The sequence below is a fragment of the Homo sapiens genome, chromosome 13 (assembly GCF_000001405.40).
Source record: "Homo sapiens chromosome 13, GRCh38.p14 Primary Assembly".
Lineage (NCBI taxonomy): Eukaryota > Metazoa > Chordata > Mammalia > Primates > Hominidae > Homo > Homo sapiens.
The window spans coordinates 99,932,466-99,949,881 of record NC_000013.11 but is presented as its reverse complement, the minus strand read 5'-3'; the positions used below and the strand labels follow the sequence as shown (position 1 = coordinate 99,949,881).

The 17,416-nt window shown below is 47.1% G+C and overlaps 1 long non-coding RNA gene across 1 annotated transcript in view, besides 1 other annotated feature; it reads left to right on the top strand.

Annotated features, from left to right (window-relative positions):
- CLYBL-AS3 (CLYBL antisense RNA 3) overlaps nt 1-17,416 on the top strand; it is a 216,296-nt gene that overhangs the window by 7,284 nt on the left and 191,596 nt on the right. The window lies entirely within an intron of this gene.
- Nucleotides 8,393-8,687: an enhancer, noted in NCBI's record as "tiled region #10052; HepG2 Activating DNase matched - State 4:PromP". NCBI's record gives its function as "activates a minimal TATA promoter and a strong SV40 promoter by Sharpr-MPRA in HepG2 cells {active_cell/tissue: HepG2}" and the evidence as "EXISTENCE:reporter gene assay evidence [ECO:0000049][PMID:27701403]".

The following is a 17,416-nucleotide window of genomic DNA, read 5'->3' as shown; positions in this document are numbered from 1 at the left end:
CAGCAGTGCTTGCTACAGCCCACAGCCTTGTTTTCTTCTCTCCCAGCCTCCTCCCCTCCCCAGCAGGAGCTTTTCAGCCCCCACTCACCACTGCACCACAGTTTCTTTCTTTTGTCCTCTCTGGACTCTACTTTTTTCCTAACACTTTCCCTAGCTCAGGCTAGTTCTCACCCACTCTGTCTTCCACTTTCTTCACCCCACAGAGCTGAGACACTGGGGCCTTCTTTCTTTTTCTCCTGGGCTCTTAATCGTGTTCTTGACCAGAAGATAGCAGAAGCTTTGGCCTTCTTCAGCTTGATTCCACCCTGGGTTCCAAATTCAGTCCTTCCCAGCCCTAGCTCTGCCCTTCCTCCCCTGGGTGTGGTCTCCTTATACACCAAAGGCTGCTTTGAGTGTTGGCACTCAGCCATTGTTGACCTTGACCTTTATACAGGAACGCTCTCCTGGGGCACCTGCAAGGAGTAAAACTTTTAAGTGTACAATTCACTGGTGTCGAGTACATTCACATTCCTGTGCAGTCATCACATCATCCGTCTCCACAACGTTTTCTTCTTCCCAAACAGAATCTTTGTACCCATGAAACGATAGTTCCTCATTTCTTCTCCCCTAGCCCCTGGCAATCTCCATTCAACTTTCTGTCTCTCTGAATGTGACTACTCTAGGGATCTCATCTAAGTGGGATTATATAGTATTTGTTCCTTTGTGTCTGGCTTATTTCACTCAGCATAATGTCCTCAAGGTTCATCCATGCTGTCGTATGCATCAGAACTTCATTCCTTGTTATGGCTGAGTAATATTCCACTGTGTGAATAATGAATCAATACATGTAAGGGGCGTGAAAGCCCATGGAGGTGAGAGGTGCTGACTTCTCAGGCAAGATATGGGCCTCCTACCTCATTTCTTCGGGGACCACACAATAGTTAGGACAGTGCTTTTTCTGTGAAAGTTGCTCGGTTCATTCAGAATCCCTTTAATTGTTGTTTCTAGGAGAGTATCACTCTTCTGCTTAGTTTTATAATTGGGAGGAAAGAAAGGAAAGCTGGGATGAGGCTAAGAAAATATGGAATGTCATACCTTGAAATAGCCACAAATTAAATAAATTCTTAGTGACAGCTCACCCCAATTTTGCCTCTCTGGGATTTTTTTTTCTTGGCTTTTGATGGCTTGAAAGTCCTGCAGAATTTTTCCCAACATCACAATGCAGAGGATGGAGCCAGGGTTTCCAGATTCCTGCTTATTAGACTAAACAGTGAAAGGAAATCATTTTTTCCATTCAATAAGTGAGGACAGGCTATTTTGTTGGCATTTCCTTTTGGGGATGGACCCTGCCTCTGGCTCTGCCTTTTTTACTTTTTTTTTGTTTTTGTTTTTGAGCCAAAGTCTTGCTCTGTCGCCCAGGCTGAAGTGCAGTGGCGTGCTCATGGCTCACTGTAGCCTTGACCTCCCGGGCTCAAGCGGTCCTCCTGCCTCAGCCTCCCAAGTAGCTGGGACCACAGGTGCACACCACCGTGTCTGACTAATTTTTTAAATTGTTTTTGTAAAGACGATGTCTCACTATGTTGCCTAGGCAAAGGTCTGTTCTTCCCTGACCTGCTGCAGAAACAGATGTGTGGCTGGCTCTGCCCAGGGCCAGGTCCCAGCCCTCAGCCACACTCCTGCCTTCTCTTCTCTGAAACGTGTAGGTAAAAAATAAGTTTCAAACTTCTCTAATTCCTTTCATCTATATTAAAAGGCATATCATATTTCTCTGAGTAAAGCCTTGGGTGGGATTTTTAGAAAAATGATCATAGTAATAATAATAATATGTTACATCGATGTTAGACCGACCTAACACTTTAAGGGGGGGCTTTCCTCTGCCTTATAGGATGTTTAGCAGTATCCCTGGCCCCTAGTGACTACATGCTAGCAACAGCTTCCTCCCTTCCAAACTGTGACAGTCAAAAATGTCTCCAGGCTGGGCATGGTGGCTCATGTCTGTAATTCCTGGGGAAGCCGAGGTGGGAGGATGGCTTCAGCCTGGTAGTTTGAGACCAGCCTGGGCAACATTGCAAGACCCCATCTCTACAAAAAAAATAGTCTCAGCTCCTTGGGAGGCTGAGGCAGGAGGATGGCTTGAGCTCAGGAGGTAGAGGCTGCAGTGAGCTGTGATCACACCACTACACACTAGCCTGGATGGCAGAATGAGATTCTGTCTCAAAAAAAAAAAAAAAAGAAAAGAAAAGAGAAAACATTTCTCCAGACATTGCCAGATGCCCTCTGTGAGGCAAAATCACCTCTGATTGAAAACCACTGAGTAAGGGGGCCAGAGGGATGGCCCATGTGGCCAGACCACAGGGAACAGGAGTGTGGTTCAAGATGAGGCTGAGAGATGGAGGCTGGACTGTGACCATATTGTGAGTTGAGATGTTATTTTAGGGCCAGGGAAAGCCACTGGAGGGGTTTAAGCTGGGGCATGAAATAATGTTATTTAATATTTGGAGGAGGGGTCTGGCTGTTGTGTGGGATGAGATTCGGGGCCGGATGTCCTGGGAGCAAGCCATTGCAGTGGTCCAGATGATGGGGGAATGGGGACGGAGAACAGCGCACAGGTCTGGGCCACGTTTTAGATGAGCAGGTGGCAGCGCTTGCTGAATACACAGGGAGAGGTGCGGTGGAGAAGGATGAAGGAAAGGACCCTGACCTGACTCCAGCACCTGGTGGCAGGAGCCGTGCCATGAGTAGGGGCAGGAGCCAATTTGGGACAGAAAGTTATTTATTTATGTGGAGGTGCCAGTTAGATGGGAGGATATAAAATTCTGGAGACCAGGAAGAGGTGAGGGCTGGAGGTGTAGGTTTGGAAGCTTTAGGGCATATTGGTTTTTATTGATATTTAAAACCATGAGTATTTAAACTCACATTACCTAGGGATATTCTGTGAGCCCACAAGAGAAGAAGCCCAGCAGAGAGTCCTGGAGGCATTTTAGCAGGAAGTGGAAGGACCAGAGAAAGATCCAGAGGAGCTGTCTGTGAGGCAGGAGATAAACTAGGGAAGGATGAGGTCATGGAAGTAAAAAATGTATCTGGAAGGCTGAGCGCTTCCTTGATGGGGGCCACAGAGTTTTCCAATGACACTGCTATGCATGGTTTGTGGACAGGTGAGGGTGGAAGGCTGATTGGGTGGGTGGGTGAAGTCAGGGACAGTAAAACCTGGACACTGTCCCAGAGGGCTGGGAAGGGGCAGAGCCCAAGTGGGAGACTGTGGGGAAGCAGATTGCAGGAGTTTTTTACAGGCAAGAGATGTGGGGCGTGTTTGTATGCTGGCCCTGGTCCGAGTGGCCTCCAAGGGGCAGGGGGAGGCAGAGAGAGCTGGAGAGGTTGACAGTGCTGGAGCAAAAGAGAACCACGTAGGAATCAAGTCCTTGAGCACGGTGGGATCAGAGCCCAAGTCAAGGGGCTAGGGTTAAAGATTTTTTTTTTTTTGTGGTAAAATATATATAACATGAAATTTGCATTTTGACTCTTTTTAAGTGTACACAATAGTGGCATTAATTACATTCACAATATAGTATGACCATATTGTGCTAGTTCCAACATCTTTTCATCACCCCAAACCCAAATACTCTGTAACCAGTAAGCAGCTGCCCCCTACCCCCTACTCCCACCACCTTGAAGGCCGGGGTTTTTTGTTTTTTGTTTTTTTGAGACAGGGTCTTGCTCTGTTCCCCAAGCTGGAGCACAGTGGCACAATCATAGCTCACTATAGCTCAGACTCCTAGGCTCAAGTGATCCTTCCACGTTGGCCTCCCACAGTGTTGGGATTATAGGTGTGAGCCACTGTGCCCGGCCTCAACGGGCTGGTTTTTTTTTAATAAGAGCAGGACATTTCATCCCGAATAGCAAGAGGGAGGGATAGACCAAGGCTGGAGGTAAGGGTGGGCTTGTAGCTTTGTGGATGGGAAGATGAGGGGGCTTCTGTGGGATTGCTCCAATGTTCTCACTGAAGGGTTGGGGGAAGAAAGAGATAAGGGTGTAGGAGGGAGACAGGAGAAAGGGTAAAATAGTCATCTGGAGAGTGGGAAAGTGAAAAAACTGAGGAAATATGTTAGTATTGATGGCCAGGGTCAATGGTCCACTTCCTATTTATATACCAGAATTTAAAATGAGACCAGCCAACAATGTTGAGTGTCTTTTTATTTTTTTATTTTATTTTATTTTATTTTATTTTATTTTATTTTATTTTATTTGTTTATTTTGAGACAGAGTCTTGCCCTGTTGCCCAGGCTGGAGTGCAATGGCATGATCTCAGCTCACTTCAACCTCCTCCTCCAGGGTTCAAGCGATTCTCCTGCCCCAGCCTCCCAAGTAGCTGGGATTATAGGTGTGCGCCACCATGTTCAGCTAAGTTTTTGTATCTTTAGTAGAGATGGGGTTTCACCATGTTGGCCAGGCTGGTATCGAACTCCTGACTTCGTGATCCGCCGGCCTTGGCCTCCCAAAGTGCTGGGATTACAGGCGTGAGCCACCGCGCCCAGCAAGTGTCTTTTTAAAAACTGTTTACAAATTGTGGCGAAATATACATAACATAAAATTTACCTTGTTTTTTTTTTCTTGAGACGGAGTCTCGCTCTGTCACCCAGAGGTTGGAGGGCAGTGGCTTGATCTTGGCTCACTGCAACCTCTGCCTCCTGGTTTCAAGAGATTCACCTGCCTCAGCCTCCTGAGTAGCTGAGATAACAGGGGTGTGCCACCACACTCGGCTAATTTTTGAATTTTGTTGTACAGACAGGGTTCACTATGTTGGCCAGGCTGGTCTCGAACTCCCGACCTCAGGTGATCCACCTGCCTCGGCCTCCCAAAGTGCTGGGATTACAGGTGTGAGCCACCGTGACCGGCCCTGAACCATTTTCAAACATACAGTTCAGTGGCATCAAGTACATTCTCATTGTTGTGCCACCATCACCACCATCCAGCTCCAGAACTTGTCCATCTTCCCAAACCAAAACTCTGTCTTCCTTAGACAATAGCATCAATTCTCCCTCCTGCAGCCCCTTGCAGCCACAGGTTGTTTTTCCCACCAGTGTTCAGGTGCAGACACGGAGTGGGTGATGGCTGAGTTACACAGGGTTGTCGAGGGAGGGGGCAGCAAGGGCGTCACGGGTGGTTGTGAGGTAGTGATTACAAGGGCGGATCATGGAACTCGGGCTCTGTAAGCAGGTGGAGGCAGGAAGAGGTGTGCAATGGTGTCTTTGGAGTCCAAAAAATGCTGATATCTTCATTCCTTTCCTTTCTCATGGTGCTGTAGATGGCAGGAGTCAAAACTCATTTTTTATTTATTCATTAATATGGTTTCCAATTGCTCTGACATCTCTGAAGAATGTTCTACAGAAGGACCCAAAACAGCCACTTGAGTCACCGGCATGGCTTCCTCCTACTACATGCCGTAGACCTGGGAAAACGTTATGGGTCCCTAGGATACCCACACAGTCTGCACCTAATTAGGTAAGAAAAGAGGCATATGGTGTTTTATATGGGGAAAGAGGTACATTTTCTATGAATAGCATAACTATGCGAACAGACAGGCTGACAGATGATTTCACTTTATCTCATCACACAATATGGGCATCCTCACTGTGTGAAAACCCCCAAAGCTTCAGAAACTTGCTAACGTCCTCCTTGCTTTCTGCATCTCAGTTCTTGCCTTTCTCTGCAGAACTGAAGTGGAGATGGGAAGCCTTCTCTCAACCGCTGTGAGCTCTCCACCCGGAAATGTCCTCTGGTGATTTTCATAGTCCCAAGCTGTTTTCTGCCTTATTGATGGAGTCATCTCTTCTTTATAGTATACTGCTTATTCTTTCTGGGGATTGTGTTTCCTGGTTTTGTCTACACATATATGTATATTCTTGGCCTATAAGTTCTGTTTCTGAAAGATGCACTTGCACTGTGTTACAGCCACACCTTTGAGAGAAATGCTGGTGGGGCTGGGTTTTGCAGCACAGATGCCCTTCATGAGGATGGAACAAGTTGCAGGGAATTTATTTTTTTTTTAATAATCGAAGAAGCTGGCCTGGCGCGGTGGCTCATGCCTGTAATTCCAGCACTTTGGGAAGCCGAGGAGGGTGGATCACCTGAGGTCAGGACTTCGAGACAAGCCTGGCCAACATGGCGAAACCCCGTCTCTACTAAAAATACAAAAATTAGCTGGGCATGGTGGTGGGCACCTGTAATTCCAGCTACTTGGGAGGCTGAGGCTGGAGAATCACTTGAACCTGGGAGGCAGGGTTGCAGTGAGCGGAAATCACACCATTGTACTCCAGCCTGGACAACAAGAGCGAAACTCCATCTCAAAAAAAAAAAAAAAAAAAAAAAAAAGGAAGAAGCTGAGGTGGATCACATCTTGGATTTACCAATTGATAGATAAGCCTAATATCACAAAGAGTTACTTCAGAAGACACAGGAGGTCATCAAGATGGAGATTTTTTTTTTTTTTTTTTAAAGACAGAGTCCTGCTCTGTCACCCAGGCTGGAGTGCAGTGGCATGATCTTGGTTCACTGCAACCTCCGCCTCCCGGGCTCATGCCAATCTCCTGCCTCAGCTTCCTGAGTAGCTGGGACTACAGGTGCCCGCCACTGTGCCTGGCTAATTTTTTGTATGTTTAGTAGAAATGGGGTTTCACCATGTTAGCCACGATGGTCTTGATCTCCTGACCTTGTGATCCACCCACCTCGGCCTCCCAAAGTGCTGGGATTACAGGTGTGAGCCATCGCGCCCAGCAAGATGGAGATTTTTTTAATGTTTTTTTTTCTTTTCTTTTTCCCTCCTGGACTCAAGTGATCCCCCCGCCTCAGCCCCCAAAATTTCTGGGATTACAGGCAGGAGCCACCGTGCCTGGCCTCTTAAATATTAATAGTTAGAGTGACCCCTTAGTGCTACCTTGAATTGTATATCAGCAATGCAGAACCTTCTGCCGTCATGATGATGTTCTATAAAGCACTGTCCAATATGGCAACCACAAGAATCCTCGCCCACTGAACTCTTGAAATGTAGCTAGTGCCACTGAGGCACTGGATTTTAAATTTTATTTAACTTGAATTTAAACGGTCACACGTGGCTAGTGGCTACCATACTGGACAGCTCAGCTTGCAGTAGGAAGTACCAACTCACTAATGAGCTACAGGCTTTCCAATTAATATTCTCTAATTTAAACATTGTTAGCACTGTTTAACAAGTTTAATTTGCTGGGCACGGTGGCTCACACCTGTAATCCCAGCACTTTGGGAGGCCGAGACTGGCGGATCACGAGGTCAGGAGATCGAGACCATTCTGGTTAACACGGCGAAACCCCGTCTCTACTAAAAATACAAAAAACTAGCCAGGTGTGGTGGCAGGCGCCTGTAGTCCCAGCTACTCGGGAGGCTAAGGCAGGAGAATGGTGTGAACCCGGGAGGCAGAGCTTGCAGTGAGCCGAGATCGCGCCACTGCATTCCATCCAGCCTGGGCGACAGAGCGAGACTCTGTCTCAAAAAAAAAAAAAAAAGTTTAATTCAATTAAACTTACTCAATATTTAAATTATTATATTGCCTTTGGCTGTATGTAATAGGCAGCTGAATAACCAGGGCTGTACGGGTGAGGGGTTTGTATTCCTCCCCTGGCAAGAAGCTTAGTGGCAGTTAGTGGAGGGCTGAGCCGGTGGGCTGGCGAGGCCTTGGGGAGCTCTTCTGGTTTCCAGCTCTGGTATTCATGGGAGTGGCTTGCAGCCTGATAGTTGTGAGATGGCTGCTGTACTTTCCAGCATCAACTTCCGGCAGGAAGGCAGGAAGAAAGGAGATGGAAAAAGAGCAAAGGGAAAACAAAAGGCTTCCCAAAGGCAAATGGTACAATTCCATGGCAGAGAATTTGGCAACATATAGTCCAGTCATATTTTATCATCACCCTTCAACCTGGCAATCCCACTTCTAGAAATCTATCCCCAGTGGTATCAGATAGGCATAAATACAAAATGGCTCATGCACAAAATTCTTCACTGTGGCATTATTTATGATCGTAAGACACTGGGAGTAACCCAAGTATTCGTCAACAAGGGACTGTTTGGATCATCTATAATATAGCTGCACAATCAGATACCGTGCAGCGAGGCCAGGTGCGTGGCTCACACCTGTAATCCCAGTGCCTGGGGAGGCTGAGGCTGGAGGATTACTTGAGCCCAGGAATTCTTCGAGACCAGCCAGAGGAACACGGTGGGACTATGAACGGGCGAAGAGTGAGACCCTGTCTCTAAAAACTAAAAAACCCCAAATACCGTGCAGTAAAAAAGAAATGAGGAGCACTGTGCATACAGGTATGGAGTGATCTCCAAGAGTCAAGAATATTAAGTAATAAAGAACAAGAACAACATGTAGAGATCTAGAGTATATAGCTGTACTGATAGGCAGCCTCATAGGTAAGAAAAGAAGGAAGGAAATAGACACACACACATTCGGTTGTATTTGCAAGGGAAACAAGCAGACAAAAAAGCAAATATTTGCCTTTAAGTGAAGCTGGAAGAGGAGGGAGACAGGTAGAAGGGATCGGGGGTGGGAAACGAGCCAACTGTGCACGTACCTCCTTTCGTACTTGGGACTTTGAAATGTGTGCTTTCCTGTTCAAAAACTGAAATAAAAGGCAGGGTGCAGTGGCTCACACCTGTAATCCCAGCACTTTGGGAATTGGGGCGGATTACTTAAGGCCAGGAGTTTGAGACCAGCCTGGCCAACATGGTGAAACCCCATCTGTACTAAAAATATGAAAAAAAAAAAATTAGCCGGTTGTAGTGACAAATGCCTGTAGTCCCAGCTACTCAGGAGGCTGAGTTGGGAGAATGACTTGAATCTGGGAGGAGGAGGCTGCAGTGAGCCGAGATCACACCACTGCACTCCAGCCTGGATGACCGAGTGATACTCAGTCTCAAACAAACAAACAAACAAACAAACCCTGAAATAAACATCGTTTTAAGAAAAGCAGCCTCACCTACACATTTTCTCTCTCGGTTCCTTGGCTGGAATTGGGAGGCATGGCCAGGCCGAGTTGCAAGGGCAGCGGGAGGTGAGTGTTCTCCTGGGCAGACTTGGTCAGGATGGGGCAGCTGGGGAGGAAGGATTAGACACTGGGCTGGCTTCACGCGGGGTCTGCTGTGGCACCACGTGTCCTGAGGAGAAGGTGGCCAGGCCTGGGAGTGTTCCAGGGCTGCTTTAGGACTCAGGAGAGCTGGTACTGATGCTCCATTCACTGTGAGCAGGAGCTGTGCTCTGAGCACCACATGTCCTGCCTCCAAGCAACCAGCCGTTTTCATCGTCCTCTTTGTGTACAGTGGGAAACTGAATGGTCGGTCGGGAGATTTAGTAATTTGCCCTAGGCAGAGCACGGCAGAGGGCAGATGGAAGCCCTCAGTTGTCTGCTGCTGCGGCCCAGAGCTGAGCAGCCACAGGGCAACTGCCCTCTGTCTGCCGCTAGCCTAGCAAGTAATTCACCCCGACCTCACACGTTCTGTTGTAAAAAGTGATGGGAAAAACGATCGCATTTCAAGGTATTTAGCAATTCCACTTCTGAGTACATACTCACAAGACATGAAAGCTAGGACTCCAAGCTGGGGGCGGTGGCTTATGCCTGTAATCCTAGCACTTTGGGAGGCCGAGGTGGGAGGATTGCTTGAGTCTAGGAGTTCAAGACCAGCCTGGCAACATGGCGAGACCCCGTCTCTACTTAAAAAAAATTAGCTGGGGGCCAGGCGCGGTGGCTCACACCTGGAATCCCAGCACTTTGGGAGGCCGAGGCGGGCGGATCACGAGGTCAGGAGATCGAGACCATCCTGGCTAACACGGTGACCCGTCTCTACTAAAAATACAAAAAAATTAGCCGGGCGTGGAGGCTGAGGCAGGAGAATGACGTGAACCCGGGAGGTGGAGGTTGCAGTGAGCCGAGGTTGCGCCACTGCTTTCCAGCCTGGGTGACAGGGTGAGACTCTGTCTCAAAAAAAAAAAAAAAAAAAAAGGTGGGCATGGTGGTGTGCGTCTGTAGTCCCAGCTACACGTGAGGCTGAGGTGGGAGGATTGCTTGAGCCTGGGAGGTCAAGGCTGCAGTAAACTGTCATCGCACCACTGGACTTCAGCCTGGGTGACAGAATGAGACCCTGTCTCAAAAAAAGAAAGCTGAGCCTCCAACAGATAGTTGCATACTCATGTTCGTTGCGGCACTATTCACAACAGCCAAGGACGGAAGCAACCCACGTGTCCATCAGTGGATGAACGGAGAAGCAAAATGAGGTCTATCCACATGCAACGGAGTATTACTATTCAGCCTTAGAAAGGATTCTGGTTCTGACACATGCTGCAACACGGGTGAACCCTGAGGCCATTATGCTAAGTGAAATAAGCCAGTCACAATAAAACGGATAAATACTGTATGATTCCACTTATATGAGGTACCTAGAGTAGACGACTTCATGGAAACAGAAAGTAGAATGGAGTTTCCAGGGTCTGAGGAATGGGGTGAGTGGGAAATGATTGTTTAATGGACTCAGAGTTTCAGTTTGGGGTGACAAAAAAGTTCTAGGGATGAATGGTGGTGATGGCCCTACAACATTGTGAATGTGCTTGATGCCACGGAAATGTACACCTGAAACGGTCAACATGGTAAGTTTATGTGGGGTGTATTTTACCACAGTTTAAAAAATGTGGTTGTCGAGAGCAGAATAATGTCTATACCAGGGTAAAAAATAATTTGCTCCCTTTCCCCCAGGGATATTTAGCACTGTCTAGAGACCTTTCTCTCGCTTAAAATTAATCATTTAAAAAATAGACTTTATTTATGGAGAGCAGTTTTAGGTTCACAGCAAAGTGAAGCAGAAGGTATAGAGAGTTCCCATATACTTCCCTGCTTGGCCCCAAGCCCCTCCTACTATCAACATCCCCCACCAGAGTGGGGCATTTGTTACAACTGGTGAAGCTGCGCCGACACGTCGCTGTCACCCACAGAGCACGGTTTACATTCAGGCTGACTCTCGGTGTTGTACTTTCTCTGGGTTTTGGCAGTTATATACATGTCCCATATGTCCACCAGTATAGCGTCATTCAGAATAGTTTCAAAGCTCTAAAAATCCTCTGTGCTCTGCCTATTCATCCCTCCTCCCCCCAACCCTTGGCAACCACTGATCTTTGTTTTGTTTTTTTTTTTTGAGATAGGGTCTCACTCTGTCACCCAGACTGGAGTGCAGTGGCACAACCATGGCTCACTGCAGCCTGGAACTCCTGGGCTTAAGTGATCCTCCCACTTCAGCCTCCTGAGTAGCTAAGTAGGTATAGGCACATGTCAACACGTCTAGCTAATTCTTAAAAATTATTTTTTGTAAAGACAGGGTCTTGCCGTGTTGCCCAGGCTGGTCTTGAATTCCTGGGCTTAGGCAATGCTTCCACCTTGGCCTCCCGAAGTGCTGGGATTACAGGTGTAAGCCACTGAGCCTGGACAACCGCTAATCTTTTTTATTGTCTTCTGGAGACATTTTTGATTGTCACACCTGGGTGGAGGTGCTACTGGCATCTCTAGTGGGTGGAGGTACCTCCAGCAGGTAGAGGCCGGAGATGCTGTTGAGCATCCTACAGAGCACCCCTGACCCCAAACATCAGCAGTGCTGAGGTTGGCCGGGCGCGTGGCTCATGCCTATAATCCCAGCACTTTGGGAGGCCAAGGCAGGCAGATCACCTGAGGTCGGGAGTTTGAGACCAGGCTGATCAACATGGAGAAACTCTACTAAAAATACAAAAATAGCCGGGCGTGGTGGCACATGCCTTTAATCCCGGCTACTCAGGAGGCTGAGGCAGAAGAATCGCTTGAACCCACGAGGCGGAGGTTGTGGTGAGCCGAGATTGCGCCATTGCACTCTAGCCTGGGCGACAAGAGCGAAACTCCATCTCAAAACAAACAAACAAACAAACAACAGTGCTGAGGTTGAGAAGTCCTGATGCAGAGGCTAAGCAGGGATTTCTTTCATCAATGACTTTGTAGGATCCATAGTAGATTCTCAATGAATATTAGCTAAGTGAATGAATGAATGAATGACATTTACAAGAGAAGCATTTGAATAACCCAGAAATCCTGCTCCTGAGTTGTAGCTTGTTTACATAACCCAAAGAAGAGCAAAGGGAAACAGTTTCTATTAGATTGGTGTCCTGTCGCTACCCAATGTAGTGAGATAGGCAGGTAAGGAGAGGGTATTTTGGCAAAGGGAAATACTGTAATTTTCTGTAATTACTGTGCATGGAAATGACATGTGATGTGTGTGATAGTTTGTGCAGATACATGGAGTGGCCCACTGGCATTAGGTATGAATTATGTGACTATTGTCAGACATCTGGGTATGTATTGTTTTCTCCATAAGACAGAGGAATCCATTCTAAGTATTTAGCACAAAAGCAACGCATCTTGGCACTTTTCTTTGTCTAATGAAGCATCCAAGAGGTTCAGAAATGAAGAACGTCAAGGGGCGGTGGGCTCCTAAACATCACTTGAAAGTGCATTTTTTTTGGCCAGGCGCGGTGGCTCACGCCTGTAATCCCAGCACTTTGGGAGGCCAAGGCAGGTGGATCATGAGGTCAGGAGATCGAGACCATCCTGGCTAACACGGTGAAACCCTGTCTCTACTAAAAAAAATAAAAATAAAAATAATAAAGAAAGCTGGGCGTGGTGGCACATGCCTGTAGTCCCAGCTACTCAGGAAGCTGAGGCAGGAGAATGGCATGATCCCAGGAGGCAGAGCTTGCAGTGAGCCGAGATCGCGCCACTGCACTCCAGCCTGGGAGATAGCGAGACTCCATCTCAAAAAAAAAAAAAAAAAAAGGGTATTTTTTTTTTTGGTCCTCAGAGAGTTTTTAATACAGTGTATTGAAGAACTGTCAGGGAGATAACAGAAGTGAAGACTTTTGATATTTAGTTTGAAACAAAGCATAGAGACATGAGATTCAAATTGAATGACGGGAGGAATTTCAAAAGAGAAACTGGGCTACATGTCCTGGTTTTTATTCTCACATATCAAAGCCCAGTGTAGATAATCGTACAGTCTGTTGTCTTGGTTATGTCAGGGAACATACGTTAACGCCCCAATCTTTCAGAGGCCCCGTCACCTTTTGGTGTGTTTAGTGCCATTCTCAGGGCACTAAGATGTACTCAGATGTGGGCAATGGTATTTTCTGGATCCTGAAGTTGGTCTGGGTGCTGGTATTCTGAACTTTCTTTTTTTTTAAATAGTAGAGATGGGGACCTCATTATGTTGCCCAAGCTGGTCTCAAACTTCTGGCCTCAAGTGATCCTCCTTCCTCAGCCTCCCAAAGTGCTGGGATTATAGGTGTGGGCCACCATGCCCAGCCCCAAACTGTCTTTGACGATATTGAGTCCTACTCAGACCTGTCTTTGGCATATGTGTTTCTAGCAAGCACAAGTAGCCCAAGTTCATGCCAAGAGGAATAAGATTCCATCCCACCACAAGGAACTCACAGTTAACTCAGCAAAGGAGGCTTGTATGCAGATGAACTGTGTGAGCCGCACAAAACTGTGCTCAGTTTCTAATATTTACAGAGTGCTCCAGAACAGTGAGGACAGAGCAACCCTGCTTGCGAGAAAGCTTCTGAGACCTGGTGACTTTTAGGAGGAGCCTTAAAGGATGAATAAAAGTGGTACTAGGCAGGAGTCAGAGGAATGTTCCAGGCAGAAGGAGCACTTGTGAAGATCAAGGGCTTGTCAATGAATGGGTCCTTATGTTTGAGCGCAGGGTGACAGGTTCACTGGGCTGAGGATTGGGGAGCTAATAGCAGGTAATGAGGCAGGATAAGTAAATTGGAGCTTACCTGTGAGGGGCACTTGGTGAAAACACAAAGCTAATGGTCAAGGTCCAGGGGGCGCTGTTCACAGCATAGTCAACAATATGAATGGTGCCTTGGAGTTGCAGCATGCATAGCTGTGTGGCCATACCCATTGGCTCAGCTAATGATTGTTGAGTGATTGCTACTGGAGAGTATACTGAGAGCCCTGTGTTTTTTATCTTTTCTTTTTCCTTTTTTAGCTGTAGGGTCTCACTCTGTAATCCAGGCTGGAGTGCACTGGTGTGATCATAACTCACTGCAGCCTTGAACTCCTGGGCTCAAGTGATCCTCCCACCTCACTCCTGAGTAGCTGTGACTACAGGTTCACGCCACCATGTATGGGTAATTTTTAAATTTTATCTTAAAAATTTATTTATGTAAACGAGGTGTCACCCTTTCATCCAGGCTGGAGTGCAGTGGCACAATCATAGCTCACTACAGCCTCTAATTCCTGGCCTCAAGCAACCCTCCTGCTTTAGCCTCCCAAAGTGCTGGGATGACAGGTGTGAGCCATTGTCCCCAGTCTTATTTTTTTCTTATTTAATTCTCACAACTATCCCATGAGGTAAGTTCTATTTTCATTCCCGTTTTATAGATGAGGAAACTGAGGTGTACAAAGTGAGCTTGTGTGGCTCTGAAGTGCTGGCATTGGTGTTTTCATCTAGGCAGTTGCCTTTGGAGCCCAAGGCAGACTGCTCCCCAGTGTTCGTCATCTGAGACACCCACAGAAGTGATGCTTTCTGGCACCACAGGGAAATGACAAAGCTGCTCACACTCCAAGGGGCATGGGCCCAGGGACTCCAGTGTCCCAGGCTGCACCCTGGCCACCCCAATGGCTGGGGGGTACTCCGGGTCTTGGCAACCTGTGGCCCATTTCTACAGCATTCCAGGGCGGCAGGTGGATCTCAGCTCTGGGAATACATTGGAGGTCACTTTTCCAACCTGGTTGTATTGCAGTCAAACACTCAAAAGAGGGTAGAAAAATTCTGCCTACTTTAGCGTTCTGGAACATTGGCTGTCACTTTCGTGGTTTTGTAGGTTGAGGGACAAAATGATTTTGCACAAAGCCTGGGCTCTGGAGACAGACAAATCAGGTCTTCATCACATGACCTTGGACAAAGTATTTGCTCTCTGTGAGACTCAGTTTCTTCATCATTTAATAACCGGGCACAGTGGCTCACACTTTTAATCCCAGCACTTTGGGAGGCTGAGGCGGGCGGATCACTTGAGGTCAGGAGTTTGAGACCAGCCTGGCCAACACGGAGAAACCCCGTCTCTACTAAAAATACAAAAATTAGCCGGGTGTTGTGGTGCGCACCTGTAATCCCAGCAACTCGGGAGGCTGAGGCAGGAGAATCACTTGAACCCAGGGGGCGGAGGTTTCAGTGAGCCGAGATTGCGCCACTGCACTCCAGCCTGGGCAACAGAGTGAAACTCAAAAAAAAAAAAAAAAAGGCTATAATACGTAGCCACCTCCTGTATGAAATGTAGACATTCATGGAAAACAGCTGGTGCTGCCTATAAGCCTTCAGTATATGCCATCCTCTTTCTCTCCTTCCTCTCCTCCTTTTGTCTCTGAACATTTCTGATCAGCGATTCTGTGCTACAGGGCAGTGCTTTTGGGAGAACCAGGCAACAGCCATCTATTGGCAAAACCACTTTATTTATGAGGACATTGCTGGTGATAACACCCTTTCTTTAGAATTCCCTTTTTATTAAAGTACCCCTGAGTTTGCTGTGAAAACTGTCCGTGGAAGCAAACAAGCAAAATAGTCCCTGATACTGTTTGGCTCTGTGTCCCCACCCAAATCTCATCTGGAATTGTAATTCCCACATGTCAAGAGAGGGACCTGTAATCCCCACGTTTCAAGGGAGAAAGGTGATGTATCATGGGGGTGGTCTCCGCCATGCTGTTCTCATGATAGTGAGTGAGTTCTCACGAGATCTGATGGTTTTAAAAGTGGTAATTTTTTTTACTGCATTCTCACTTCTCTCTCTCCTGCTGCCTTGTGAAGAAGGTGCCTGCTTCCCCTTGACCTTCTGCCATGATTGTAAGTTTCCTGAGGCCTCCCAGTCATGTCGAACTGAGTCAATGAAACCTCTTTCCTTTATAAATTACCCAGTCTCGAGTATTTCTTTATAACAGTATAAAAATAAACTAATACAGCCCCGAACAATTTCTACATCTTTCCACGCTTGTTCTCCTGTGGTCATCTTTTTTTTAATTTTTTTTAGACAGGGTCTCACTCTGTCACCCAGGCTGTAATGCAGTGGTGTGATCTCGGCTTACTGCAGCCTCTGCCTCCCAGGCTCAAGTGATCCTCCTACCTCAGCCTCTGAGTAGCTGGAACTACAGGCATGCACCACCACGCCTGGTTAATTTTTGCGTATTTTTTTGTAGATATGGGGTTGCGCCATGTTGCCCAGGCTGGTCTCCAACTCCTGAGCTCAGGTGATCTGCCCGCCTTGACATTCCGAATTGCTGGGATTACAGGTGTGAGCCACCATGCCTGGCCCATCTTATTGTTTTTTTAAATATTAACTTTTTTTTCTTTTTTGGCAATAGAGTCTCACTCCATTGCCCAGGCTGGAGTGTAGTGGCATGATCTCAGCTCACTGCAGCGTTTACCTCCTGGGCTTAAGCGATCTTCCCACCTTAGCCTCCCGAGTACCTGGGACTACAGGTGCACACCACCATGTCCAGCTAATTTTTCTATTTTTTGTAGAGGCGGGGTTTTGCCATGTTGCCCAGTGAGCCAGGATCATGCCATTGCATTCTAGCCTGGGTGACAGAGTGAGACTGTTGTCTCAAAATAAATAAATAAAAATATTTATTTGTCAAATAAAGGTTGCATATATTCAAGGTTTACATTGTAACAATTTGATATATGTATACATTGCGTAATGATGACCACAACCAAATGAATGAACACATCCATCGCCACTCATGCTGTACATTAGAGCCTCAGAACTTACTCAGCAACTTCTGTAACTGAAAGTTTGTACCCTTTGACCAACGTTTCCCTATGGCCTATCCCCTCGCAACCACTGTTCTACTCTTTGCTTCCATGAGTTCAACTTCTTTAGCTCCCATATGTGAGTAAGAGCATACAGTCGTTGTCTGTGTCTGGCTTGTTTCACTTAACATAATGTCCTCCAAGTTATTGCAAATGGCAGGATCTCCTCTTTTATGGCTGAACTCTGTGTCTTTTAAAAAAAATTAGTATTCAGGCTGGGCCTGGTGGCTCGCGCCTGTAATCCCAGCACTTTGGGAGGCTGAGGTGGGTGGATCACTTGAGAGGTCAGGAGTTCGAGACCAGCCTGGCCAACATGGCAAAACCCTGTCCCTACAAAAAAATACAAAAATTAGCCAGGCTTGGTGGTAGGTGACTGTAATCCCAGCTACTTGGGAGGCTGGGGCAGGAGAATCGCTTGAACCCGGGAGGCAGAGGCTGCAGTGAGTGGAGATCACACCACTGCACTCCAGTCTGGGCGACAGAGAGAGACTCTGTCTCAAAAAAAAAATAGTATTCAGGGGAGATGAAGCTTGAT